At 43.2% G+C, this 27,533-nt stretch overlaps 1 protein-coding gene and 3 long non-coding RNA genes across 6 annotated transcripts in view, besides 4 other annotated features; 2 read left to right on the top strand and 2 right to left on the bottom strand.

The window, feature by feature from the left end:
- The window catches only part of LINC01412 (long intergenic non-protein coding RNA 1412), a 57,567-nt gene extending 43,388 nt beyond the window's left edge, over positions 1 to 14,179 (bottom strand). The window contains exon 1 of the long non-coding RNA NR_110570.1: positions 14,121 to 14,179. This is a non-coding gene — a long non-coding RNA (long intergenic non-protein coding RNA 1412). The remainder of the gene's footprint in view (positions 1 to 14,120) is intronic.
- Positions 11,603 to 12,503, top strand: LINC02993 (long intergenic non-protein coding RNA 2993). The gene is made up of 2 exons (NR_136320.1): positions 11,603 to 11,660; positions 12,219 to 12,503. It is a non-coding gene; the product is annotated as a long intergenic non-protein coding RNA 2993 (long non-coding RNA).
- ZEB2-AS1 (ZEB2 antisense RNA 1) lies at positions 15,148 to 16,433 on the bottom strand. Its single transcript, NR_040248.2, has 4 exons — positions 16,373 to 16,433; positions 15,937 to 16,088; positions 15,762 to 15,832; positions 15,148 to 15,293 (listed from the first exon to the last, which is right to left on the bottom strand). It is a non-coding gene; the product is annotated as a ZEB2 antisense RNA 1 (long non-coding RNA).
- Positions 15,928 to 27,533, top strand: part of ZEB2 (zinc finger E-box binding homeobox 2) — a 136,039-nt gene continuing 124,433 nt past the window's right edge. For 2 of the 3 annotated variants that reach the window (NM_001171653.2, NM_014795.4), the window contains exons 1-2: positions 15,928 to 16,108; positions 18,628 to 18,769. In NM_001171653.2, the coding sequence (NP_001165124.1) occupies positions 18,697 to 18,769 (73 nt within the window). In that variant the 5' untranslated portion in view covers positions 15,928 to 16,108; positions 18,628 to 18,696. Of the gene's footprint in view, positions 16,109 to 18,627; positions 18,770 to 22,249; positions 24,663 to 27,533 lie in introns of those variants that run through there. The other variant, NR_033258.2, reaches the window with a different exon arrangement.
- Positions 18,198 to 18,699: an enhancer, noted in NCBI's record as "H3K27ac hESC enhancer chr2:145274915-145275416 (GRCh37/hg19 assembly coordinates)". NCBI's record gives its function as "activates a minimal SCP1, AML or CMV promoter by ChIP-STARR-seq in primed H9 embryonic stem cells {active_cell/tissue: H9 hESC(primed)}" and the evidence as "EXISTENCE:reporter gene assay evidence [ECO:0000049][PMID:30033119]".
- Positions 24,840 to 25,755: an enhancer, noted in NCBI's record as "OCT4-NANOG-H3K27ac-H3K4me1 hESC enhancer chr2:145267859-145268774 (GRCh37/hg19 assembly coordinates)". NCBI's record gives its function as "activates a minimal SCP1, AML or CMV promoter by ChIP-STARR-seq in naive and primed H9 embryonic stem cells {active_cell/tissue: H9 hESC(naive and primed)}" and the evidence as "EXISTENCE:reporter gene assay evidence [ECO:0000049][PMID:30033119]".
- Positions 25,043 to 25,092: an enhancer, noted in NCBI's record as "active region_16605". NCBI's record gives its function as "activates an Ori minimal core promoter by ATAC-STARR-seq in GM12878 lymphoblastoid cells {active_cell/tissue: GM12878}" and the evidence as "EXISTENCE:reporter gene assay evidence [ECO:0000049][PMID:35858748]".
- Positions 25,123 to 25,192: an enhancer, noted in NCBI's record as "active region_16604". NCBI's record gives its function as "activates an Ori minimal core promoter by ATAC-STARR-seq in GM12878 lymphoblastoid cells {active_cell/tissue: GM12878}" and the evidence as "EXISTENCE:reporter gene assay evidence [ECO:0000049][PMID:35858748]".

Raw genomic sequence — 27,533 nt, 5'->3', positions numbered from 1 at the left:
GCTGAGATCATGCCACTGCACCCTAGCCTGGGCGACAGAGTGAGTCTCTGTCTCAAAAAAAAAAAAAAAAGAAAGAAAGAAAGAAAGAAAGAAAGAAAGAAAGAAAGAAAGAAAGAAGAAAGAAAGAAAGAAAGAAAGAAAGAAAGAAAGAAAGAAAGAAAATTACTGTAACGCATTCAGATAGTCTCATTATGCTTACTTAAACCTAAAAGAATTTAATTAATATATCACAAAAATGACACATTATTTTTTTAACGTTCAGTCTCTATAGGATCCCTGCTGCCCTACTCTCTTATTCCCAAATAAACCCAAATAGTTTTCCAATTTCACTACCAAACTACTCTCTTGAACAACTCTATTTATAGTTTGGTATCTTTGTGTACCTAGGACAAGTAACAAACCAGTTATGAGAAAGAAAAGAAAAAAAATAATTTCTTCAGGTTGCTCTCCTAAAACCAAGGCTTCCTTTCTATTATGTATTCACACATGATTTCTCTGCATAAGGAACTGTGTCAGGACTAAACTGAGTCATAGGACTCTGGGTTCAATTTTTACTTAGACAGTGGCCCCGAATGACTGATCCAGTCCTTTCAGCACTGTTTCCTTACCTGTCCCATAATATTTACCCTTTATCGGTTTCACAAAGATGCCTCCACATCTGAAACATACTTGAGACTTCCAAAATGGGTTTGATTATTTTGTCTTACTCCATCAAAATCTTAAATCCCCTTTTTTTCCAAACTGGGCAAAATAATATCTGCCAACCTTGAGGGTTTATTTTAAGGATTAAGTGAGATCATGCATGTGAAAAAGCTTTGAAATTCTAAAATGTTTCACATGTAAAAGGTATTTTTATTTCAATACTTTTGCAAATGTATGTCTAAACTAAATGCAAATTATTCAAAAATCCAATGAGACAGTTCCAACTTTTGGTACTCCTATTAATATGAAGTGAGGGAATGCTATAGCCTTCCTGTGGCTGAATGCATTGTCAGTAAAACATGCCTGCATGTGGAGTTCCTTGTTCAGTGATGAAAATTAATTTGTACCATGGTATTCATACTCAGTTCAAAAAGTGTTTTTAAGTGTCCACTATGTGCCAGATACTTGCTAGGAATTGGGGGCATACTGATGAAACTGACAATGTCTCTATCCTCAGAGAAGGTCATATTCTAGTAAAAAGAAGATATATAAACAAATAATTGGACACAGAAAGCCAGCCTGGGAACCAGGGGAAGATGGCATATGACCTGAGTTAAGCAGTGAACAGAAGTCAGTCACATGAAGGGAGAAGGAAAGAACATTCCGGGTAGAGTAAATAGGATAGGAAAGGTCCCTAACACTGGAAACAACATGCATTGTTCATGAAAAAATATAAACAATATTACAGAAGTCGTATAAGCCATTTGAAGAATCGTGGGAGAGGAGGTTGAAGAAATGAAAATGTTCCACCTAAAAGAGCCTCATCATTAATCTAAAGGAAATAACTCAGGAATGGAAAACCAAATACTGTATGTTCTCACTTATAAGTGGGAGCTAAGGTGTAAGGATGCAAAAACATACAGAGTGATATAATGTACTTTGGGGATGCAGGGTGGGAGGTTGGGAGGTGAGTGAGGGATAAAAGACTACATACTGGGTACCATGTCCATTGCTTGGGTAGCAGGTGCACTAAAATCTCAGAATTCACCACCAAAGAGCCAATCCATGTAATCAAAAACCACCTGTACCCCAAAAACTATTGAAATGAAAAACATTAAAAATAATTTTATAAAAACACTATTTCAAGGCTAAAAAAAAAAGGTGAGGTGACTCATATGCTTTGCTAAAGAACCTATAGTTTCTCCGGTTGGCTCTCTGCTTCTCACACTGTGCAAATCAAACTCTAGGGACAAACAGGATTAACATGACCCAGCTTCTTGGATTCTTGATTTTGCCCAACAGTATGGGAGATAAACAAGGTTGACGTTGAAGAACTATTGATTCAAAACAATCTTTGTAAACATTAAAATACCCATCCTTATAGTTACTTTGAGGAAAGATTTGAGAAACACAGCAGGTATGAAATGGAGAACCACTGATGGTTTTATTGTCAGCAGTGGCATGAGCAGAAATATGTTTTAGAGCAGTGGTCCCCAACCTTTTTGGCACCAGGGGTCAGTTTCATGGAAGACAATGTTTCCACAGATGCAGGGATTGAGGGAATGGTTTTGGGATGATTCAAGAGCATTACATTTACTGTGCACTTTATTTCTCTTATTATTACATTGTAATATACAATTAGATAATTATACAACTCACCGTAATGTAGAATCAGTGGGACCCCTGAGCTGGTATTCCTGCAACTAAATGGTCCCATCTGGGGGTGATGGGAGATAGTGACAGATCATCAGGCATTAGATTCTCATAAGGAGCTCACCACCTAGATCCCTCACATGTGCAGTTCACAATAGTGTTCACGCTCCTATGAGAATCTACTGTCACTGCTGATCTGACAGGAGGCGGAGCTCAGGCAGTAATGTGAGCCTTGGGGAGCAGGTGTAAATACAGATGAAGCTTCGCTTGCCTGCCTCCCACTCACCTCCTGCTGTGTGGCCTGGTTCCTCACGGGTCCGTGGCCTGGGGGTTAGGGACCTTTGTTTTAGAGCAATCACTCACTCTGGTGATGGCGTGGAGAATAGATGTGAGGAGGAAAGAGTGAAAACAGGAAGGCCAGTTAGGTGGCGGGCACAGCCTTCCAGGAAAGAAATGATGAGTAGCTAAAGTAGGGTAGGGAGTGTTGGAGGACAGCAATGCTTTAAGAAACAGGCAGAGGTATGCTGCTTAGCCATATGGAGTGCTTGAATGTGGAAGTAAAGGAAAAGAGAGGAGTCATGGATAAACCTAGAGTTGGAGTTTAGAAGACTGGCGAGACTCTGGTGCCACTGAACAAGTTGGAGTATATTGGAGAAATAAAAAGTTAGAACAAGATTATGACTTTAGCTTTGAAAATGTAAATTTCTACATGCCATGGAACTCCAGGTGAAGATGCTGAGAATTTATCCTGATAGCCTTCTCTGATTCTCCTAGTGAAAAATCACAGGCATTTGGAAGGTAATCAGAATTAGATGGGCATTTTGCTTCTTTTCTTTCCAACTTTCAGTGGCCATCTTGAGTTCATACATGACCTAGACTCAGCTCCTTCACTGTTTTCTCCGACATCTGTCAATCCATGACAAGCAGTAACTACCTGGGTGTGGTTTTCTCAGAGAAGTCTTGACACTCTAGTTCTGTATCATTCCCTGGATTTTAAGCTTTTCAATAGCAATGCCATGTGTCACTGACAATATGGACTGCTCATAAATAAATAACCTAGAAGAAAATTAATTATCATATCATCCATCAATCTCTTAGCCTCCTGAGTCCCTAGTTTTGAACTTCATTTCACCTCTAACAATATCTTTATCAATTCAAATCTAGCTCCTGGTCTCCCAGTTGTAACAAAACAGATATGGATCTCAGGTGGAGAGTAAGCATCAGAAACAGATGAACTCACAAGACAAAAATCTTATGTCCCTATTTTCCTGTTTTCATGCAAATGTCCCAGTAATTAAATCAGGAAAAAATGTAGCAAAAACATATCAGCCAAATGGTTTTAAAATTTCAAAAGAAGCTGTAAATATGGTCCTTTTTAGAAGATCAGGTTCTAACTAGAGTAGGAGAAAGGGTAGCATTTGTTCTGATGAAGCAGTTTTTAAATTATTGTCAGTGATTTGAAGAGAGATAACTGATGTATGTTGAAGAAGCCTGTGAGATTTTTAAATAGTTCGGACGCTACGGGGAGCATTTTTTTCTTAAACCAATGTACTCAGAAGTGTTGGCAAGATTTTATTTGAACGTAGCAGTGCTTATGTGAGGAAGTTATTTTGAATTACCCTAGTATAAATATGTATGACTTTATTTGTATTGAAAATTTCCTTTGCAAGTGAGCGAATGAGGAACTGTTATATATCTATATTGCTTTTTAAATGATTTAGGTATTTCATTTCGGAAATAAAATATCATACCCAGAATTCAAAAATAATATCAGAATTCCGTTTGTACCCACAGGTGATTCTTGCACCTGCATTCATACCTTTTAACTTTAATTTGCCATGTAGAACAAATGGTATCTGTTATCTTAAGTCTGGCTTTTTTTATAGCATTTATGCATACGTACATTCATTCACTCATTCATCAGACATTTACACAGCTCCTCTCATGAACCAAGCACTATGGTAGGTACTGGGCATGTAATAATAGTATTGAACTGTCCTTTGTCATAACATAGTTCAGGTAAACATTCCATTTCCTCTAGGCAATATTCTGTAGCACAATGAAATTTTCAAATCTTAGGGTCATATCTTATTATTTAAAGGCTAAGCATGTTGAAGGCTGTGAACAAGCCTAGCATTGAAAGCATATTCCCTCTAAATACAGAGTATCAAAAGAAAGGTAAGAAGAGGTGAGGGCCCCAAGAAATAAGGCCGAAAACAGGGGGGAGCAAAAAGAGGGCGGGAAGGGTATTGGAGAAAGCATTAAAATCAGGGCTCAAACTTTCCCCTTAATACCTTTGGGCAACCAGTTGTTCTACATGAAAATGAAGCTGCTAGCAAGAAAATCATCGAACCCATTATCTGTAGAGCCTGTCCATTTACTTATAGAAGGAAAAACAAAACAAAACTCATCTTCTCTGTTTTCCTTCTTTAGTTATTGTGTGGGATTGGAGGGGAAAGGGATCATTTATCCTAAATTACTACTTCACCTTGCCTTCCTAAGCAACACACCTCTTCTAGTTCATTCCATTCTCTCCTTATTATTTCTTTCCTTTATCAGAGAAAACCTATTATATTTTCATGTGTTTACTTAAAAACAAACTACAAGAAGGCTCATCTGAGTCATCTATTTAAAGAATGAGACAAACATACACATGCAGCTCTGTTTTTGCTCCTTCAATTCTTTTTTAGGCTGTGTATAAAAGTGACACAAAAAAAGAGGAATAAAACAGTTTGTGTTAAACAATGTAATCAAGTACATAAGTCTGTAAAAAGGAGCGTGTAGGGTCTTAAGTACCCATGGTCCCTGCCTGCTACCCTCATCTGTCCTCATTCTTATCTCAAGTTGTAAGTTTTCAGTAGGAGATCAGTTTGTATCTCCCTAAAGCTTCTAAATGAATGACGGATTCCACAAACAGCAACAAATATTACTATATAATAGGCACTGTTCCAGGGGGTTGCAAAAGAGACATCCGTGATAAATCACCTTCCTTTGTCAAATAAATTACTATTTGGAGATCATAAATGAAGCAATAGTTTAAAATTTTCCAAGTGACGGTGCTTTGCGTTAATATCATAAAAGCATTACTGTCCCTCAAATTCAAAGTCCAAGGTGATTTCAAATGTCATTCACAAGCATATTTCACCTAACCCTGAATGTTTTCTTCAACCATGCAAGAATCCTCCTTGGGAGAAGCAAAACTTGAATATAGATCATCTTTAGGCTGTAACAAATAATATTTCAATATCCCATAGAGCTATGTGACATTAGGTAATAATATAACTCAGGACTATACTGATTTCTCTAAACTGAAATTCCAAATTCTTAGAAGATAGATAAATTAAGCTTTAAAAGAATGGGGTTTTAATTTTTCCTTCTTGTTTTAAAACACCAAATATTTTCTGTGAACTTTCAGCTTTGTTCTTTCCCTCTTGTCTAGAAGGGTGCTAGCTGAGTGCCAAGAACAACAGGTAAGCCAGCTTCCCTCAACACAGAGAAATTATGCCTTTGCCACAGGAGCCATACTTATGCTTCCACAATGGCCAGGGAAAAACCTAATAGGAACAGATTTTTTTGCATGTGTAGCAAAGTTAGTTCCAGAGAGAGAGAAAGAAGCCTGGTTTGCACTGTAGCAGAACCATTGGAACAATATGCTCCCTGTGTCCACAGCCCAATCCTCCCCGGACACCCTCCTTTCTAGGGCATAGGGTAGCAGAGTCACATACACAGTAGATCATGCCAGGACCTGCTGACACAACCCTACTCCCAAATTTGCAGGCAGGAGAGTGAAGCAATGTCTGTACTCTATACATAGTCTTACTTTTTTCTTTTCTTTTTTAAAGTAGCTGTTTCAGCATTCAACTGGGGGCAAGAGGGGTTGGGGGGTGGAAAAAGATAGTGCAGGCAAACTTTCTCAGTGCTATTCCATCCCTCTATGTCTCCCCACTCCTTCACACCTCTGAAGTTATGGCAAGACTAGGTAAAGAGTTTTGAACAATATTGAGACCCTCTTATATTTACCTTGAACAAATAGGATCTTTGACACTTCTTGACCACACTCAGCTGCCTGCAAGAGTGCTTCCTCCTATAGCAAGTCATATCGGGAGAATTCGCTGAAGAAAGGTTTTTTCCTTACAATTGCAAATGAAAGTATAAAATAGATCACCAAATTTTAAAGTGTGCATATGTCCTCATCTCAGCTGTTGACATCATATTTATAATCATGAGCACGCCAGGTTTTCTACAACTTAAGAAATTCTATGACCATATTACTTTTCCAACTTTATCAGTAAACACTGATTTCTGTATAATGCAGAAACCAGTTAAATAATTTCTGGCCGGGTGCAGTGGCTCATGCCTGTAATCCCAGCACTTTGGGAGGCCGAGGTGGGTGGATCACCTGAGGTCAGGAATTCGAGACCGGCCTGGCCAACATGGTGAAACTCCGTCTCTACTAAAAATACAAAAAATTAGCTGGGTGTGGTGGCAGGTGCCTGTAATCCCAGCTACTCGGGAGGCTGAGGCAGGAGAATCACTTGAACCTGGGAGGCGGAGCTGGCAGTGAGCCAAGACTGTGCCACTGCACTCCAGCCTGGGTGACAGAGCGAGACTCCGTCTCAAAATAAATAAATAAAAAATAAAAATAAAATAAAATAAACAACACCTAAAAGACATGTTACATCCACTCTGGTTTTCCATAATTTAACTTCATGTATTTTTCAGGTAATTCATGATAGTAGGAATTACTATTTATTGATACACCTGCTCTGTGCCAGACATTTTGTATACAGTCATATTTTCTTTACCACAACCAGCTTGAATCTAAGTACTCCTTTACCAATTTTTTTTTTTTTTTTTTTTTTTTTTGAGACAGGGTCTCGCTCTGTTGCCCGGGCTGGAGTGCATGGAGTGCAGTGGCACCATCTCGGCTCACTGCAACCTCTGCCTCCTGGGTTCAAGCAATTCTCTTCCTCAGCCTCCCGAGTAGCTAGGATTATAGGCATGCACCACCACGCCGGGCTGGCTGATTTTTGTATTTTTAGTAGAGATGGGGTTTCACCATGCTGGCCAGGATGGTCTTGAACTCTCGACCTGGTGATCCACCCTCCTCGGTCTTCCAAAGGTGCTGGGATTACAGGCGTGAGCCACTGCACCCAGCTCCTTTGCCTACTTTAAAAATAATTTCACATGGGTAAAATAACTTGTCCTCAATACACAATTAGTATTTACCAAGCAGGGAGCCACATCCAGTTTATCTAATTCCAAAACCTGTATCTTTGTCACTATAATATGCTAACATTGAGGATCTAGTGTCAAATATACTAATGTCCAGTTTCCAGTCAACAAGTGCTAACAGAAGTTGTATAAGAAATAAAAACTATTCCACGACATCTCTGGACCATGATGTCTCCTTCATCACTAACTTGTCCTGTGCCTGGGCCCAATGTTGGAGCCAGTTGAGCTAGCAAGAACCTCCCATGGGAGCTTTTCCTAAGTCGGGTGCCTGGGAGAAGAGACTGGACCAGAAAATACACTTTATCTGGGAAGCCAGAGGCACCAAAGCCAGAGAAACTTTGGCTCAAGGACTTGAGCCAATATTGTAACTGGAAAAATGAGCCTAAGTGTTAGGTCCAAAAGGCAAAATAAGCCATACATGGAAAAACAAGGGCCAATCACAGCATCCAGGAGGCCTGGAAATGGGTCACAATGTGCAGAGCGGGTGGGCACAAGTGGGTCAGAAACACATCTGGGAAAGGTAAAAAGATGTTGGATGTCACATGAATATGGTGTTGGCCCTGGGGGTGGACGTGGCAGATTCAAAAGCACACCAAGAACCAGATGCTTGAATTGTGGGGAGTCACTGACTCTCCCTAAGCCACAATTTTCTCAGCTAATAAAATGGACCCAGTTGTAACCCCTTCAGATCTGCTATCAGAATTAAATGATACGTGAAAGGATTTAGCATAGTGCCAAGCCTAGAAAAGCAGGGGTTTTTTTTCCTTAGCTATTATTACTTTATATTTGTGATTGCCATGGAGATGATAATAAATTTTGAGAGTAAAGTTTTTACATTTAAGTACCTGAAAGAACCCTGAAAAAAAAAATTCACCCTTAGAATGGTACAAAATTAAAACTGAGTACAGAACAAAGTTTATAGTTTGAGCCTTTTAACAGAATAAAGAGTATTAAAGAAGACCTTGAAGCAAGCATGAAGTAATTTCCAGGTCACTAGACAATTTGCAGGTGCAAACCATTTCTAGTCCCATTGTCAGAGGGAGAAAAAAGGTACAGGTCACACCCAGTCCCCTACGCTGATGTCCAAATGTCTGGTTTGGTAGTTTTGACCTAAAAGGAGCATGGAATGGATGCTTTCAAAATAGAAACAATTAACAGACCCTTTAAGAACTACAGATATAAGTGTTTTGAGAAGTCTTAAAGAAAACAAGAACAACCAAAAACTATCAGTGTTAGTATTACATCACGATAGTTTTTCCCCCTGGCATTTGCATTGATTTTTCAGTTTTACATCAAAAAGAAAATCTGGCCTTGTGGACATTTAAGAGACTAGGGAATTTCATTTTCCACTTAATACACTGATTTTCTTCACCACTCTAGGTACTTGAAATTAGCGCAAACCCCAGGACAGCTACAATTCCAAAAGGGAATGCTCAGTTCATTATGAATGGTCTTAAAGCAAACAGTGCTCTGACAGCCAAATTCCTGGTCTTCAAATTTGTAAGTTTGCCCTTTTTTTCACAAGTCTTACTCAAGACCGCTTCTGAGCTTTTGCACATTTAACCCTTACACTAAAAGACAATATGTTACTAAAGAGCATGGGAAACTTCAAGTTCATACATTTGGACTAAATTCCTTTTCAAAAGCAGTCTAATATTTATAACCAAATTATGACCATATTGAATACACTAAATTAACTGCTGAACTAACAGAAAGGAAATACTGTATTTATTTTCACTTCTGTGGCTACGCATCCTTTGAACAGTTCGAAAAAATCATAAACCAGCCATAAATCCTAAAATGCTTTTCATTTTCTTTCTTCACGTAATAACACAGCACTGATTTTTCAATAAAAAATATACTGTAAATAGTTGTTATTTTTAATAATCAAAATTAATTTGTACCATCTTTAGTTGATCTGTATATTTGTTTAACCTTTCATTATAATAATAAAGCTACAATATAGTGAAGTTTTATGCATTACTTCATTTAATTCTCAATAAAATCCCAAGGGATAGCATTATTAGTGTACCCACATTGGAGATTAAAAATAAAACAAGCTTATAGGAGACTGCTTATAATCACACAGGTAGTCATTTGCAGGGCTAGTATTCAAAATAGATATTAATACTTTGGACTTTAACTGGCACAGGAGAATAAAAATATCAGGGATACACTTACTTAATCATTTTTAATAATTTAAATCAGCCCATATGTTAGTAAGTAAAAGATAAAAAATGATCCTAAATACCAGGCCTGAGTTATTTGTCAATTGCTGCAATTTTCCACTTTTAGACTTGAATTAATAGACATAACTAAAAATTTAAATGACAAAATTCCAATAAGAAAACATAGTGCATAATTAGTGCACATCTCTGGATTTGGGGAGGAGAGTGACTTGATTTTACATAGAGTATTGTTTTTCCTAATTAATTGTAGTGTGCCACATATTTGTATGTGAATGCCTCATAAATGGTTTACAAATTGTTAAGAAGTTTATGGATATCTAGAAAGAATATTACAGCTCAATAAATAAACTTTTACAAGTGTAGAAGAGAAATTTTGCATTAAAATGTGACTTTGTTTCTTCATCCTGAGAGAATGAATTTTTAAAAAACACATTTAAAATCAAGCATTAGATATGCAAATATGTGTTCAGATCAGAGATACTAAAATTATTCAAATGATTAATTATTCATCATAAAATGTCAATTAATAATTATGAAGCAGAAAAGGCATCTTTCTAATACATCTTTATTTTTCTTGGCCTAAAAAGGGCTAAATATACATGTTCAATTGACTTCTATCAAGTTTTTAAAATTCAACAAAGTAAACAAATTGTAAACAAGTGAAAACTCTGAATTTTAATGAGAACAACAAATATGCCCAAAGTGAAGGGAAGAGCAAAAAATAATAATAAAGAAAACAAAACAAAAACAGTTATGTTCATGACATATGCCGCCTCATGCTCACTCACCTGCTAGGTAACGGACAGTAACCTAGCCTAGTCAAGAAAATAACCCAACAACCCAAGTTGTGAATTTGCTTAGTAATGTGCAAACTACGTGACATGATGATGTTTCTCTCTGAATTGATCAATCTTTGTTGGGGTTCAGGAGGAGTGCTTTGGGAATTTTTTACCCTTTGCAAATAGTCATCAGAAGAAAAGCGCAGTTTAAGTTTCATAAAATTACCTATTGTAATGTCTAAAGTCTGTTAACAAATTAAGTACTACTAAAATATGGCTGTAAACAAACTTTTTCACATTGCCTTAATTCTAAAGAATGCCCCTATGCCAAGCATTATGCATTTTTTCCAGGAAGACTATATCTATTATATCTTGTCTTTTAAAATTATCAGTCTGAGCTGATGTGATAATATAGAAGAATAAACCATTATGGTCACTGAAATATTGATTTATTTTATTTTTATTATTATTATTTTACTTTTCACTGACACCTGGTGAACTTGTCGTCTCTGAGACCCGGGGAGTTATTTTAGTCAGGGTGTCCCTGCCCTCCTGCTGGTAGATTAATTACACATTAAACGTTCTGTTTTCAAAACGAAATGATAAATCTGGACACATAAAAGAGGCACAAAAAGAATCACAGCGAGGGAGAAGAGTGGATGTTAAGAAACAAAACAAGAAATTGCAAAAGGGAGATATCAGATAGAAAGGAGAACGTAGGAAATGCAACTGGGAAAGAATTTCAAGAAAATAAGGATAAAGGGCAGGGAGGGCTGAAAGGAGGGCCAGAGGGAGGAAAAGCAGGAGGGAGATTTTTGGTTTTCAATTCCCTGGTGAGGCTGCTGGCGTCCGCGCCCTCAACGCCCCAGCCTTCCAAGTTGAGGCGAAAGCCACCTCCTCGGGCCTGCGTCGCATCCAACTTACTCCAAGTTTTCTGGTGACTCCTACAGGGCCCCTTTCCGTCCCCCCCCCCGCTCCCCGCCCCCCAAGCCTTAGTGAGATTGACAGTCGCGTGGAGGAGGCTTTTCCAGGCACAGCCTTTCTCATGGTAATCAGCCCCCGGCATCACCTCCCGGCCGCGGCTGCGCCCGCTCGGAGCGCGGCTCGCGGACCCCGGGGACCGGAAACAGGGCGGCGGGCGGGGAGCAGGCGAGCGAGCCAGGTCAGCTGACCGGGCGGCGGGCGGGGGTCGCAGGATCCCGGGCGGGGACAGGTCTGGGGGAGGGCGGTCTGGTGGGAGGGGGCCGAACACCGCCCCCCCCCGCGACGCGCTCCTCCGCCTGTGCAGCGGGGCCCTTCCTGGAGATCAAATGCAGGGACCGAAGCTGGCGGCGGGGGTTGGGGCGGGGTGTGTGGGGGGGGGAGTGGCAGAGCGCGCGGAAAATTGGGGACAACAACCAGACCTGTTTAGCATCAATAAATTAAGATGCTCATTTGGGTCCTGAAGTTTGCTGGTTCCTGTCAGTGGAGACGTTGGCAAAAGCCCTGAAGCCGAGATTCAGCCTTTACTTCAAAAAAATAAAATAAAATCAACCCCTCAGCTGGCCGCCCTGCTGGGGCCAGGTGACGTGCGAGATTCCACAGCCTGCGGGTCTCGCAGCAGGGATGTTAGGGACGGTCTGAGCTTCTCTGGTCCTGTTTTGGTTTTGTTTGAAAGGGCTTCTCAGAGAGATGCTCCTGATTTTTTTTTTTTTTAATAGACTTTCCCCTCCTATCCTAGGCTCAACTCCGAATGGATTGGATTGCGAGTCTGCACGTGAGAAAACCGTTTGGCTTGGCTTGGACCCCTGCCGCCCCCCACCTCCTCCACACACACCCAGTCCAGGGGTCCCCTTTATCACCCTTTGCTTGCAACTCCAAAAGAAGTTGCCCACCTCCTGAGTCACAACACAAGGTCGAATAATTCCTCTAGATGAAAGATCAGTTTCATTTCAAAACGAGAATAGGTTCCTTTTTTTATTTTCTCCACATGGTACAAAATAAACAGAATTTGCTTTAAAAAAAATCATTAGCTGTGGCCAAATTCGAATTCCTTCTACAGCCTGTGTGTTCAAGGGCAGAAACATTGTATCTCTTCGGGCATCTGGGCCGCCAAGCTGAGCGGGGGGAGGGGGGAGCGGCTGTGAAAGTTGAGGAAATTGACAGACTGAGAGGTGAATGGGGGGACAGGCACCAGGTCCTGGCTGGAGGGAATTGGAAAACAAAAGTGCATCCTTCTCACCCTGCCTGGGTGGAGGGAATCCTGAGGGAGGTAGTTTGTTTTGCCCATGGAAACCCCAAAGAATTATTTTTCCCCCTTCAATGTTGATTGCAATATTATTTCACATTTCCGTGTATCTGTTGTTTTAATCTCTTTCGTCTGCGCTAATCTCGAAGTGGATTATTAATGGGGAAGACAGAGAAGGAGAGATTCATTTGCAGGACTTATTTTGCTGTGTGAGGAGCCGAAAGCCAGCAGCCCCCAGTCCTCTCTCGACTTTTCTCTGCGTCCTGTGCTCCTGCATCCTCCTGATCCCACGATCCCCATTGTCCCCGAACTGGCCCTCGGACTGAGGGAGTGTTCGGAACAAATTTATATTCCGGCTTCCTCCCGACCCCATCACCTCTGCCACGTTGGGAACTCTCTCGGCCAAATGCCTGGGGAGGGGCGTGCCAGTCAGGAACCAGGGGCAAGGCAACCTAGCCGCAGCGCTCACCCCTCGCGGAGACCCTTCCCGTGCCACCATCCAAATATCTACCTTCATGGGAACCTGGAAGACTGCTTTTTCACCCCAAATCAAATACTGGCTAGTCGGAACTCCCAGTGATAAATGTTGGGGACTGCCTCCTGCCACTTGAGCAATTCCTGAGTCCAGGGTAATCAGATGATTAGGTGTTTTTAATGGAAATACTTAGGGTTTTTTTTTTTTTTTTTAAGTCAGATCCTAAGTAACCTGACATTTAATATACATAATAAAGACAAGTGTTTTGTTAGCTATTCGATTGGATCCTTTGACCTGAGGTTATGCTTGTGTGTGTGTCTGGTCTGTAAGCCTCCAATGGCTACCTGGGTGCCTGAAGAGGAGTCTTGCCTGTAATAACTCTATGCAAAGGGCTCCTTCTTCCTTAGGAGTGGTGGAAGGGTGGCTGTAAAGCAAACGTCTAGAGAAAGCTGGATTCCAATCTTTTAAATTAAAAAAGAGGAAAAAAAGGAAGAGGAAGAAAAATGGACATGAACAGTGGTGCTAAATCTCAGAAGAGGAACTTGATAAGTCACACATATATTTAGTATAGATATATAATAATGAAAGAAATGTAAAATATAAAATTAAGAATGTGCCTGACCCATGTTGAAAATCTTTGATTTTATTTATTAATAATTTTTAAGCTGAAGATCCTGAATGCCTTTCTTCTATAGACACTTTATCTGTGATGGGGTGGGGGGAGAGAGTTAATTTATCCAGCAGCTATTTTCATTATAATAAATACTTAAATTAGGAAAGAGGTGAGTAACCAACTGTGAAAATCTACTTTCTTGCATCCTAGAACAAGATCTAGCTGTGGTCGTGCTAGGTAGCTATTAACCACCCCCACCCCACTCCCCCGCCCCGCAAAAAAAAATACAAAATACAAAGACGTATACCTCTGGGAGTGTGGATGTGGCAACCCATGTGGTGGCTTGTCCCTCCTTTGAGTGCAATTGCCAGTGACTCTTGCATTCAAAGTCTTGCTTTAGGCACACATTCAAAGCACAGTTCAAAGCAGTTTATCTTAATATAGTGTTGGATCAGGGTATTATTTGTTTCAGATTTCATCAGACTGGAAACAGGAGGGTGTAACATATTTAACAATATTAAAGCTTAAAAATTGGTGTGAGGCAGCTCTCTGGTCCTCTTAACACCTCCACCTTTACCTTTCCGAAGAATCCTAAATGCTGTGAGGCTAGAAGTTTATTTGTGCTCTGAGGTTCTCAAGCACTTTCACTCTTTAGGAAAAAAAAAAAAGTCTCACAGTTATTTAAGAAATTGAGCCTGAACCATCCGAGGATAGGAGATTTCTTCCTTTTCCGATAAATGCCTGTGCTCAGCATCCTCAAATTTGGCTGTCTTTATTTACTTCTATATTAGTTCCAATTATGTGCAGTGTAAACCAGCTTTTTGATTAACAAAACAGCAGAGCATTGGTTAAGAACACTTAAACTTCAAAAAAATTCCCCTGGGAAGTGGGCTCTGAATTGGTTAATAATGTGCAGTACTTGCTAAATTGCTGACTTCCAGATGTGGAAAATATCTTTCTTGTTTAGGACCTATGTAACCTGATTGGATTACGACAGAAGCGTCACGTTGGAAGCTTTTGAGTGATTATTTAATTAACCATACAGTAGAAAGCTGTATTCTCCAGGAAATCCCTTCCATATTTGCATAACCAATCCCTTCAGAGCAAAGGTGGAGTCTTTTCTTTTTAATCTTACTTTAATTGTAATATCAAAAAATATATACTCCAAAACTTAGACCCCATGCCGTTTAATATCATGCTCTCCCTTCCCTGCTAAGTTTCTCTATGGCCTTTCTCGTTTCTCCTCCTGCCTCCCTACACACTCTCCCTTACTTTGTAGTGAGGTCTCCCCGAGGTGTAGAGAGATTCAGAGATCGGCCAACCGAGTGTTCTATTTTAATTTACTTAGAGACCCTTTATTAAAATGCCAAACTACTTTTTAATATTGGGATCCAGTCCAGAAATTCATCATGCACACACCCTAATACACATGCCCTAAGATGCAGCTCCCATGCAGCATTTTTTTTTCTGGCTCTGGTACCTAAAAAGAAAAAAATAACAATAAGAGAAAGGGCAGAGAACTTTGTTCCAGAAGCTGTACTGAGATACCTACACAATTTGATGTGCATCTCAAATCTGGTCATTAGAGATATCTGTATAAGAAGAGACTATCTGGATTGAGGACCCGGGATCTTTCCCTTTAACTTTCGCCCCTTGGAGTTCTCCAGTTCTGTGAATGGTGTGCACCGTTTTCCGCCCTGTACTCTGTAGGATTTAGTGATGAGGATAATGATGCCAAAGGCTTGACGGGCGGGGAGGGGGGGGTGGAGGGGGGGAGAAGGGAGGGAGGGGGGAGGGAGGCGAAGGCGAAAGGGAGGGAGAGGAGGAAGGGAGGGAGGTGGAATTTCATTTCTTCCACTAAAGCGTTTGCGGAGACTTCAAGGTATAATCTATCCCAGATCCTTTCCCAGAGAGAAACTTGGCGATCACGTTTTCACATGATGCTCACGCTCAGGGCGCTTCAATTATCCCTCCCCACAAAGATAGGTGGCGCGTGTTTCAGGGTCTCTCGTCTCTCTCCTACAGAAAAGAAAAAGAAAAAAATGTCATTAGAAGAGGCGTAACACGTCAGTCCGTCCCCAGGTTTGTGTTTCCTGGAGTGGCCGAAAGAGATCAGTTCTAACCTGCTCTGCAGGAATAACGGTCCTGCCTCCCGACACTCTTGGCGAGGTTTTTGTACAGTTTGCTCCGGGAGCTGTTTCTTCGCTTCCACCTTTTTCTCCCCCACACTTCGCGGCTTCTTCATGCTTTTTCTTCTCACCATTTCTGGCCAAAACTACAAACAAGACTTCGCAGGTAGGTTTTTTTTCCTCCCCTTTTCTCTCTTTTTATCCCTTTTTGGTGTGCTCGTCCTCCATCCTCCTTTTCTAATTTTCTCATTTTGAGTGGGGATGTGAGTCTGAAGTGAGAAGGGGTGTCCGTGGGTAGGAATTTCAGGTGGGTTTAGCTCCTTTATGGCAAGCTTTTCTCAAGAGTGGCTTCTTCGCTTTCTCTTACACTCACACTCTCTCTCCTTGCTTTTCTCTCCTTTTTCCCTCCCCCAAATAATTTCCCCTGTACCTGTTCATTCAGGTAACCAAAGGTGTCCTTTGCTATCCAGCCCAGGAAAAGTTTTATTGAGAATTATATGGCTGGAATAAAAACTCATCAAGGGGAGAGGTCCTGCTCTATTTTCGCATCTAGTTCCAATTCATTATATTCAGCAATTAGGACTTGGCAAATACCTGTTAATAATTACAAAACTTGGTCAGTTACAGACCTACAAATTCGGGGGCAAGTCTTTCTCTTAGACATGGCAGTTCATCCTCTCCCACCGAGAAGGCTGTTTTCTAAGCAGAAAGTTGTCTGTTTTTGTCTGCTTAGCGAGTTTCATTTCTTTATTTCATTCTTTGTGTGTGTATGTGTGTGAAGTAACACCTCACTTCTGTGATTATAAATAAAGAAGTGAAAGTCCTCATGGAACTTGAGTCGTTTACCAAAGTGGAGGGGGGGGCACTACAGCTGGGAAGAAAACTGCTGTCAGGATATCAGGGTTTTAAATTAGGATAACTTTTAAAATTGTATTTTTAGTGGCAAAGTAATATAGACATGGATTTAATAGAAGACACATACACACATATATCCCATTCCATACTTTGGCACTGAAAAGTCGAGAGAGAGATAGCAGGAGTTCCCAGGAACAGTGATGAGCCCGGCTAACATGAATGTGTTTATCTCCCACCTACTGATATATTTTACATGCTCCCCCTGTAATGATGAAGGCAAGATTACTAACTCCAGACTTAGGAGTAACAGGCAAAGATAAAGTTTACAGCACAAATGCCCTGTCTCTCTCTCTCACACACACACATGCCCATAAAACTAGCAACTTACTTTATTAAACATGTATTTATATGCAGTCGTGTGTCTCAGGATGAATATAGACAGGCCAGCTGTTTCATCCCAGACACTTGTGTGACCATTTCTTTATTTCAGGATTTCCCCTAACAATTTCAAATCAATAGGACAAGGAAAGAAATGATAAAATATGTCAAACTTAAAAGTCTCCTACTATGTATGCCTAGGTAAATTTAAGGTGCTTTCTAAAATATCCACTTCCCCTTCTCTCTGCCCCCCTCCCTTCACCCCTCTCAGCAAATGTGTGGAAACTGATACTCACTTTCCAGGTTTTCTGCAAAGCTTCTAGCACAGGAGACAATAGGTGTGGGGCGTGGGGACTGAGTGTGCCCGGCAGAGAAAGGGTTAATGGCCCTTGTGTTACAGTTTGCATCTGTTACATCTTTTATAGCCCCCTGTTTAAACTAATCCTCGAGGCACAGCATCTTCCCAACCTCCACCGAGTTTTCAGGATTCTCCTCCTCTCCTGCCTGCCTCCGAGGTCCCCCTTCTCCAAGTTTTGACAGTTTCAACTGAAAAAATGCAGCGCCTCTCTCGATTTTTAGGTACAAAAGTTTCGAAGCCAGAAAGGATACGATCATTTAGTAGAGCTTAAAAGTATTGCCGTAGTGGTTGGACTTTCTCTTTCCTTTCTTAAGGGAAAAAAAAAATTCTACTGGAACTATTTAAGGGAACCAGTGTGGGGGAGCATGTGTGTGAGTGAGGTGGGGGGAAATACTTAAGTAAATATTGTCAAAGTGGCGAGGGGGGGTGGGGTAAAGGACAGTGTCCAAAGAGGCTTATAATTATATTTATCATTGCGGCGTAAAACGGGAAATCTTAATTTGGGGGCGAGGGTGGGGGGAGGAAGAGACAGTGCCTCGATAAACTCCAAAAGGGGAGGGGAGGGGGCGCTGGGCGAGTGGGCTTCCTATAATTACTATTATCAATTTGCCCGAGTGTGCTTCATCCAGGGGCTGTTTCGCGTTGTTTGTTTGTTTGTTTCCTCTGGGAATTGGGGGGTGGGGGGATGAGAAAAGATGAGAACGAAAAGAAAACCTCGCCTCACCCCAAGTTCCCGAGCCGGGGGCTGAGGACTTTTCGAAGGAAAGGGTCCGCCTAGCCCTGAGTCAAGCGGTCTTACTGTACCGCCGTGTGCATTCCCTCATACGGTCAGGAGTTATGACTCATTTTGAAGATGTAATTCTTGTCTCTCTGATCCCCTCGCGGGTGCAACACACCAAACAGTAACAAACACAAAGCGCCTCGGGGCCAAGGCTGGGGGTGGGGGGCGGGGAGGGGGCCGCCGAAGTTTCGCTTTGGCGTTGGGGGGCGCGGATGGGTGCTCGCCGGGGCCCTGGCCCGGCTCCCCTGGGCGGCCCGCGCGCGTTTCAATGGGCGCGGGCGATGCCCACATTGTCGCTGTGTTTGGTTGCTAGATCGAGCCTGCGTGCTGCCGAAGCAGGGCGCCGAGTCCATGCGAACTGCCATCTGATCCGCTCTTATCAATGAAGCAGCCGATCATGGCGGATGGCCCCCGGTGCAAGAGGCGCAAACAAGCCAATCCCAGGAGGAAAAACGGTAAGAAGCAGCCCGAACCAAACTTTTCCGGGCCACTACGCGGCTCGAGACCCAGGGAGAAGGAGGGGGAAAGGGAAAAGGAACCGAGGCGGCGGCGGCGGCGGCGCCCAGGGCTCTAGGGCGAGCCTCCCTCCGCGGCCGGCGCCGGAGCCCGGCGCGCGCGGCGGCTGGACCGGGGGGTGTTGGGGAAGTGCCGGGCAAAGTGAGCGTCAGGCACCCGGGGGTCCGAGCGCGGGGGTCCGGCCGGGGCCCCGCGCCCCCAGCCCCGCTGCCCCCCTCGAGCCCCTGCCTCCGCCCTCCCTCCGCCTCCGCCTCCCGCTCCGCTCGCGCCCGGCCCGCCGGGTCTCCGGCCGGGCTTCGGGAGCGTCCGCCTGGGGCAGGGCGGGGGCCCAGGCGCTGGATCGCGCAGGATCCCGGGGCGGGGGCGGGGGTGGCAGAGAGACTGCGAAGGCAGGAGAGGGGAACCGGGTCTGCGCCTCAGCGAGGCTTAAAGTTTCTTGCCGGAGTCGCCCGGCCGCTTCTCGGTGCGCCAAGTAACGGTCCGCGGGCAGCGGGGCCCGGCCCATCGCGCCCAGACCCCGGGGTGGGAGGGAGTCGGCCGGCCCCGCGCGGGGTCCGGTGGGGTCGATGATGGCTCGGGGACGGATGACTCCTCTCCAGCAGGCTCTGCCCCCAGGCCGGGGACTGAAGGAGTCGCAGGGCGCAGCGAGACTTTTCCCGGCAGTTTCTACATGGTCTGGAGGAGCCCGTTATCCAGGCTGAGTCAGGAAGGAGGAAGGAGAAAGGAGATGGGGGTTCGAGGGGCACACGCAGATCAGAGGTGGGATATTAAAGGGGGGGGTGAGAGTTTGGTAGGTCCGTTTTGGAGACAGCCAGAGAAGGGACGCGGGGGGACAGAGAGAAACAGAGAGAGAGGAAGAGAGTGAGAGAGAGACCCCCTAGGTATTACCCCAAACAAAATCGTGGGAATAAAAGAGAAAAGTGATTGGCAAGAGCGCGGAAGGCGCCTGGGGGAGGGGAGAGGGCTGGGGACTAGCGAGGGTGCCGGGGGGGGGTGGGGGAGCTGACGGAGGATAACTGAGTTTAAAAAGAAAGAAACCAACCCCCGAAAACAAACAAGCGAACGAGCGCCAGCCCAGACTCGGAAAGGAAACTTCTCGCTCCCCTCGCTCTCAGCCCGATCACCCGGCGCGGGGCCGCGTAGACGCTCCCGAGGCAGGCGCTGGGACGCAGCGCCCACCCGGCCTCCCGGCCTCCGCAGCCCCAGCCCGCGCCTCGCGGGGACCGCCCGGGCCCACTTGGAGCAACTTTCCTCTAGAGAAGACAATTGTGCGCGCCCCCGGCCTGCCCCAGAGCTGCGCGGCGCGGGGAGGGGGCGGCTGGGGGCGCAGTGTGAGGTGCTGGAAGGAGCAAAACACAAAGACGAGAGAATTTTGATTAGAGACAAATGATGCTTTTCTCTCTCTCTCTCTCTCTCTCTAGGTTTTGTGTGTGTGTACGCGTGTGTGTGCGTGTGTGTGTCTTTTGCTTGTTGTGGTGGAGGTGTCGAGCCATATGGGGGAGTGATAGAGGAATTTTAGTCAGAAACTGTTCGTTACGTTATCCTGCCTTTCCCCTTTGTGCTGTCTTTGATCTATTTGCTTGGCTTAGTATTACAGAAAAACAAGTACAATAATATATTCCGAGCTGCTTCCCCAAGATTCAGTTCAGGCTGCTTCTTTTTAAGTCTCTCCCTCTCTCTTTCTCCCTCTCTCTCTCTCTTAATTTAATTTTTTTTTCACTCTGGTGTCTGGCATTATTTAAGGTGGTCCTTACACAGGAGACCTCCCCTTCCCCATCTCTGAGTAATTTAGTAGACACTAAAATTACACCTAATGTCCCCCTCTCCTCTCTTGTGTTTCCTCTGTTCCTTTTATTAAATGTTGGTTATTGATTTTCTAAAATCAATGTCTGTTGTGGGGCTTTTTTCCCCCTCTTACAAGTATCTAAAGCACGTTGCTGATCAACTGGATAACAAAAGCTTTGTGTCAAGGAGGCTTTTTTCCCTCTTCTGTTAAACAGTCATTTTTTTTTTTTGAGAGAAAAAGAGAATGAGATTTAAAACAAGGCTCCCAGAAGTGTTCTTTTGCAGGGAAGACTATTTAAAGTGTGCATTTCTTCTTGCCTTCCTCCTTCCACCTCCTTCGGGATTTTGCCACCGTTGACCAGCCTGGCCCTAGCAGTGAGGTCAGGCCAGAGCCCAGGTCTAAGGAAATAGAGGGATCCTGGCTTCCTGGGAACCCCTAGGAGACCTGGCAGAGAGGGAGGCCCGTTGGGCGCTTCGCAGGTGGAATGGAGTGCCAGAGATGTCCGCAGTCATGGACACTGCAAGTATTTCCCCTCCACCCAGCCACTAACTTGGGAGAAGCCTCCACATTCAGAAGTGGAAAGTTGAATTGCACATTTTAAGGCATTTAGCCCAGATCCTGCACACTTAATATCAAGCCTGTCCATTGCTTACAGCTTCTCTAACTTTGACTGTTACCTGTCTTTTTTTCCAAATAAGCTGTGGGAAAACATGCTGTATACTGGTTATTGTAAGTGTTTTTCACTGGGTTTAATCTGACCGAGCAATGTTCTGGTTTTGAGAAGCAGGTAGAAGAGTACTACCACCCCACCCCTTTTTCATTTTCTTTCTCATCAAACACATATCCAATGCCTTTCCCTTTGGGAATTGCTAGGATTTATCTGAACTGAGTGGATTTTTCTTCTTTCCTGGATTCATGGAAAAGATGTCACTTTTGAGCTTGTGTCTTTGCTGATAACACTAAATATGATGATGCTTATCAAAATCATATAGAAATTCCTGGAAAGAAATAATGGCAATAATAATCGTATAAGTAGAAGCTGGAAGGGAAAAAAAGATGGTCATCCAGGAACCTAGAATGGCACTTTATATAATTTTAATGAAGTCAACAGTGTATATATAGACTAAGGCGACAAGGAGATAAAACGTGTAAAGCAGTGTGTGTGTTTTAAAGGCTGGTCAAGAACGTGAGTTAGAAGACAATGCTATGTACATTTAATAAAAAGCAAAGGAGAAGGAGGCAGTTGAAGAAAAATAAATGTACAAAGAGAGAAACAAGTATCTGAAATACAACCTTCCAGATTCTCAGGCTAGCAAGATGCCTGGCAGAGGCAGTGCCAGGGCCAAGTTAACCCATAGCGGGCAGTCAGTCTCCTTTCCCCCACATGGAAAGGATGAAATCTCTTCCCAGAAAATAAGATGTGCAGGAGGAAAGAGGGAGTGGGGTGAGGGGGAAGGAGGCAAAAAGCGAGTTGCCCGCAGACAAGAATGTGTGTCGGTTTCAAGAAAGTTCAGTCAGATGATCCTCAGTCGCCTGACTCACTTTGTAACACTTTCACTGACGCTGGAGAGGAGGGGGAAAACCCAGCCCCCCTTTTTCTTTCCCCTGATTATACCCCACTATCTCCACACAGCCTTGGAGTCAGAAATGAGCACTCGGAGCGGGAGATGCCCTGCTGCTGCTTGCCACCGGTGCGGCCCGTTTGTAACTTGCAAAGTTTGTTGCTTTTGCCCCTGATTCGGGCAGCGGGTCCTGGGATGCTCCTGCTTCCCTCCTGCCTCCCACGGAGCCCGGGAAGAGGGTCTGCCTCCCCATCCCGCCACCTTCCAGCATCAGCCTCTGAAAAATCTCACAGAGACATGCACGTTGTAGCAAAAATCAAATCCGGAAACTGCTTGTTTCAGAGAAAGAAATGAAGTTGTCTTTTAAAGAAAAACTGAATTAGGAGGAGAGAAAAGGGAAATAGGAGAAGAAAGGAAAAGTTAAATTTGATTTTTCTCCAGAGTTTCCACTAAAGGGTTGGGGACAGTGTGAAGGAGAAGGGGAGCTTTTTACAAATGCCTTTGGTCTCTGAACTTCAGTGGCAAAGAACAGGGATCAAGTTGAATGTTCTCAGGGCTTTGGATCCTAGAGGAGAAACAATCAGAAGAGCAGAAATGGTTATCCCTGTTTAAAATAAGCCCTCACTCTTTACCACTTCCTTAAAGGAGTGGAGGTGCTGGTAGTGATGGTTAGAGGCAATGAGGGACGGAGAAGTTGCTCCCGTTTCAGAGATGCTTAAATGAAAAGGAAAGAAAATGCAGTCAACCCCTTCTCCAGGAGGTGCCTCCTAGCTCTCCTCCCTGAGAGGTGAAGTTGGGATGGGGCAACGAGAGTCATACACACTTAGACAAGGAAGTTTCCTTCGGATCACTGTCAGTCCAGACTTGGTTATCTTTGCAAAGTGTGGAAATCTTTGGCAAGTAGCTTTCTTCGTAAAGTTGATGAGCTTCTAGGGAGCCTGTTTTGCTGACTTTCAAAGCACTGGGGCAGGTTGTGTGGCAGGTACCAGTTCTGAGGGCGCTCCAAAGATATCCATCTCCATCCTTTTTTCTCTGTGGAGATCTTCTGCAAGTTTTGTCACGCTGCACACACACAAGGCTGGGGGCTATGTATCTAGGCTGATCTATTTGTTTTATTTTGGTCTGGAAAAACTAAGCCAATTGGGGTAGAAACATGCTTTCCTTCGTAGCAGAGCCAGTAGGCTGCTGGTGTCCATAGAGTGACAGTCCACCAGGACTAAGGGTGGGCTGAGGATTTTAAACTTTACATTGTTTCTCTGTTACCAGATACAAATAAATTCACGTCTTCCACCATTTGTTTTCAAATAGGGTAAAACCAAGATTAAAGTTCCCTGCTCAACTGCTATGTCATAGGTTTCAGTGTTTCCCTTCCTTCTTAATTTGCTTAAAGAAAATTCCAAGAGGTTATTAAAGACCTTGATGCCATATTAAGAATATTTCCTGGGAAAAATGTATGTCTACCCTGAAGGTAGGAAAGGAGGGCGTTGCTAGCCTCTAGCAGTGCCGCGTTTATTCTAAGATGTGGGAGATTCTTTTCCTTGCAACAGTTTTTGTCATCTGCATTCTTCCAAGGCTTTTAAGGTGCATTTTCTTCTGTGTGAAAGGAAATTCTTTGTCCTTTTCCTCTCAGCACCGTGGCTTCCCAAGGTAGACACTATTTTGTGCCTGTCACAGAGAGAGGGAGTGCAGGTTTGCAATGCTCACAGACAATTGATTGTCTGCCCTAATGTGTTTCATTTACATGTTTATAACGTCAATGGTGCTGGGGTGTCCACTGTACCATTCATTCCCGCATTCCCACAAGGGGGCAATTGTCTGAATGGCCAAGTCAGACACCTTTTTGATTGCTCTTTGGTTGTCTTTTCAGAGCAAAGAGATAAAGGAGGAAAATCTGTGATGCAGAAACACTAGTTGAAAATATACAGAATTAAATGTCACCACAAAAGCAGATGTTAACATAAGCCCAAATATGCTTTTTAGCCAAGATGTGAAGGTTGAAAAAAATAATTCAGAGCAGAGGGAAGGATGATTTAAACCAATAAATATAGCCCTATTCCCCCTCTTTACTTCTTTTCTGTCTTTAGCAATCAGAAGATGAAATGTAATTTTCCTTTTCATTTTTAAGCCTTGAAACATCCAGGCACCTCCTCATTATTTGTATGTTTGCTGTGATTTGTGAATTTTGTATATATTTACATAGCTCTGTTTATGCCAACAGCATCAGCTTACCACTTGGAAAATCTATTGAATGACTATTTGGGCTGTGGGGAGGGTAAACTTTTAAAAAGTAAGATCCAAGTATTTCTTCATCAAGCAGTTTTTAAAAGGAAAACGATAATAATCAGTAGGCTCCATGGAAGCCTTTGCCTTAATAGCTATGTGCCAAATACTTTTATCTTGTGTGACAGTCATGTCAGAGTGAAATCTCTCAGGAAAAGTGTAACTAGTAGTTACAAAGTAAATAAAGGATTTCATTTTAAGGTGTTCTGTAGTGTTTTTATGCTGTGTATGTGCATGTGTGTGTTTTGTCTTGTGTTTCCTCTGAGGAGGTAAGAAGAAAAGCCATCCATGCGTGTATCTTTTGGCTTTTCTCTTCTTTCCGTTCTCTCCTACATATTATGCATATATGTAGCCCACATGAATACACCTGTTTAAAAGAAAATCACAGTTCAGATGGTGCCTTGCTGGTTCATTTAGGAAACAACAGTTATTAGAAGTTGGTCTGATTTCGCGTGTGGTCCATGAAGACAGAAAATACCAACTCTTGTGTCATCTGGTGGGAGGCAAATGGGGGAAAAACTTTTATAATTTTGTAGTAAATTAGAGAGGGGAAAAAAACTGCCAGTCTGTGAAAAGATTTTTGCCTCTCCGGGAAGACACACACACACCCAGTAGCTGCACCGTTAGCTGAACCCCTGACACGGCGGTCTTTTGAATGCCTTAGGTATGATTTCACTTTCGCTCACATCAATGCTGACCTGAATGCCTTTCATATCTGATCCGCTGTGTCTCTCCCAGTAAACATCCCCTGAGGGGAGAACAAAGAAAGGAGCTCTTCTTCTTCTTAATCACAATTCAGCCCTTTCACCGCCGGCAGGCTCCATTTGCATTCTGCCACAGAAAGCCAAGATGAAAAGAAAGAGAGAGAGAAAGAGAGAGAGAGAGAGAGAGAGAGAGAGAGGCACAGGGTAGTAGCTGAGTAAAATAACTTAGGTGTTTGTGGCTGTTTGTTGGGCTTCCCCTAGTTACCAGCCTTATATAGCTGATGCTCCACCAGGCCCTGTCCCTCCTGACAGGCATATAGTGTTACAAGATGGCATGTCTGTACTATTCATGGCCACCCGCTCAACACTTGAGGTAAAAAGTGTCAGGAGGGGATCGAATTCTCCCCCAGAAGCCTGTTAGATTTGGGGTCAGGTGTGTGGACTTCCCGCCCTTAAGTGCTGCCTACGATTTGGCTTTAATAAGTCTGATTGTTTACCAGCGGACCAGAGAGGTGAGGGCCCTGGGGGTGGGAGGGACGGGCGAGCTGGAGACTGGGCCCCTGGTCTGGTTTCAGTGACGGGTCCTCACACCCAGCCTGAACACACTGATAAATCCTCAGGAAAACTGGAAAAGACTTTCCCATTTTTCCCCCTGACTTTTTATGATAATTCATATTTTCAAATGAAAGGGGAAAAAAGCCAAGAAGAAACTCTCAAATGAGCCAAAAAGGAAAAAAAAAATTCTCTGAAAAGAATTTTAGGGGGAAAAGTTGTGCTATTTTAAAAAGCTTTGAGGGCTGTAAAGTGCCACGTTTTTCACACCTTCTCCATACTTTTTTTTCAGATTTTTTTAGTATGTTTAACATTTGTGAGATGACAGCCTTTTTGTATCTCAAACTGGATGCTTCAGGATTTGTAGGGGAGGGGTTGGTGGTATTCACGTTCTCTTGTGAGAGAAAGTTTGTGCCTAAAGGCCTCCTTCCTGGGAACTGTTTAAACCCTCGCAGGCAGACCTGTCAGGTTTTACTGTGTTATTTGCCACCATTTTCAACATGCAAAAGTAACATGCAGTTAATGGTATTGGAATGAGACCACAGCAAGAGCAGAAACCTCTCGTGACAACTTTTCAGCGACATTATCTTGCTCCTAGACTGTCTTGTCTTTTTCTTCCCCTTTCTGAAACCACTTTTGAGATACCAATAATTTTCTCCCAACAATTAGATTAAGGATACAATGCGCTCACACACATGCACCACACACACACACATTCACACACACAAACACACACACAAACTTTGGAAGTGCAATCTCTTCCAACAGCAGAGTGAATGATTTGAAACGGGGGCTTTTCCAATAACCCTTGTGGAAGATTTCACTTATAAGAGCAAAACTAACGGATATATTAGAAGTTGTGCGAACATGTGACACAGATTCCTGATTTTTTTTTCTTTTTCCCAGAAGATTTACAGAATTTACAAAAAGAGATTATCCCTACACCTTCCACCCCTCCTATCCACCCCCATGACCCAAGCAATGAAGGATTTAGGCAGATTTACTTCAGTAAACACCTTTGGACACTTGCGGGGAAAGTGGGAGTCTGTTTGCAAAAGGAGGCTTTTGTTAAGTGAGGTACGGGGATAATGCTTTACCAGGCAGCTGTGATATTAACCTACCCAGCAATGCGGGAACACTCTTTAACTCTTTGAGTGCCTGGCCCCTTGCGCTCAGCAGATAAAATCCTGGCTCTCCAAAGACACTCAGAATTCTGGCTCTAGCAGTTTATTATTCAGACAAGTCTTATAGGCATGAAAACTGTTCAAGCTTTTAAAACAATGTGGTTTAATTAGATGAGGTGGACTTACATTGCTCATAAGCCCTCCAAATGGTGGTTTATAATTGGCAAGGGAAAAAAAAAAGATAGAAAAAAGGAATCAAGGCAGCACATTAAAAATTCCAGGAAATATCTTTAGAAAAGCTATTTTCATTTCTAGCTTTTAAAATATTAGACTACGGTAGCTAGAGGGAATGAAGCAGCTGGGGCCTCTCTCCTTCCTATAAAAGACACCAGAAGTTTGTGATGAAGAAAGGGGCTTCAACTTGAAAAGCTATGAGAGGCCAGTTCGGACAGTGATATGATCTCAGCCTTCGCATCTTTTCAAGGGGGAAGTACTGCCTATCTGTCCAAACCTGGGAGGTCATGTGAACCTCAGAGTCAGGGCCTCAGGCTGGCCGTTACCAACTTGAGACTTTCCAAAGCAAGCAGAGAGGCATTTATGAGGAAGGAGTTAATGGTTATTTTTTGCTGGGCACAAGAATAACTTTACAGGTGTTGCATTTGGGCTTAAATAAGATTGCCTTATTTAGTTTCGAA

Source organism: Homo sapiens, chromosome 2 (assembly GCF_000001405.40).
Source record: "Homo sapiens chromosome 2, GRCh38.p14 Primary Assembly".
Classification (NCBI taxonomy): domain Eukaryota; kingdom Metazoa; phylum Chordata; class Mammalia; order Primates; family Hominidae; genus Homo; species Homo sapiens.
This window is presented reverse-complemented; position numbering and strand designations above follow the sequence as displayed.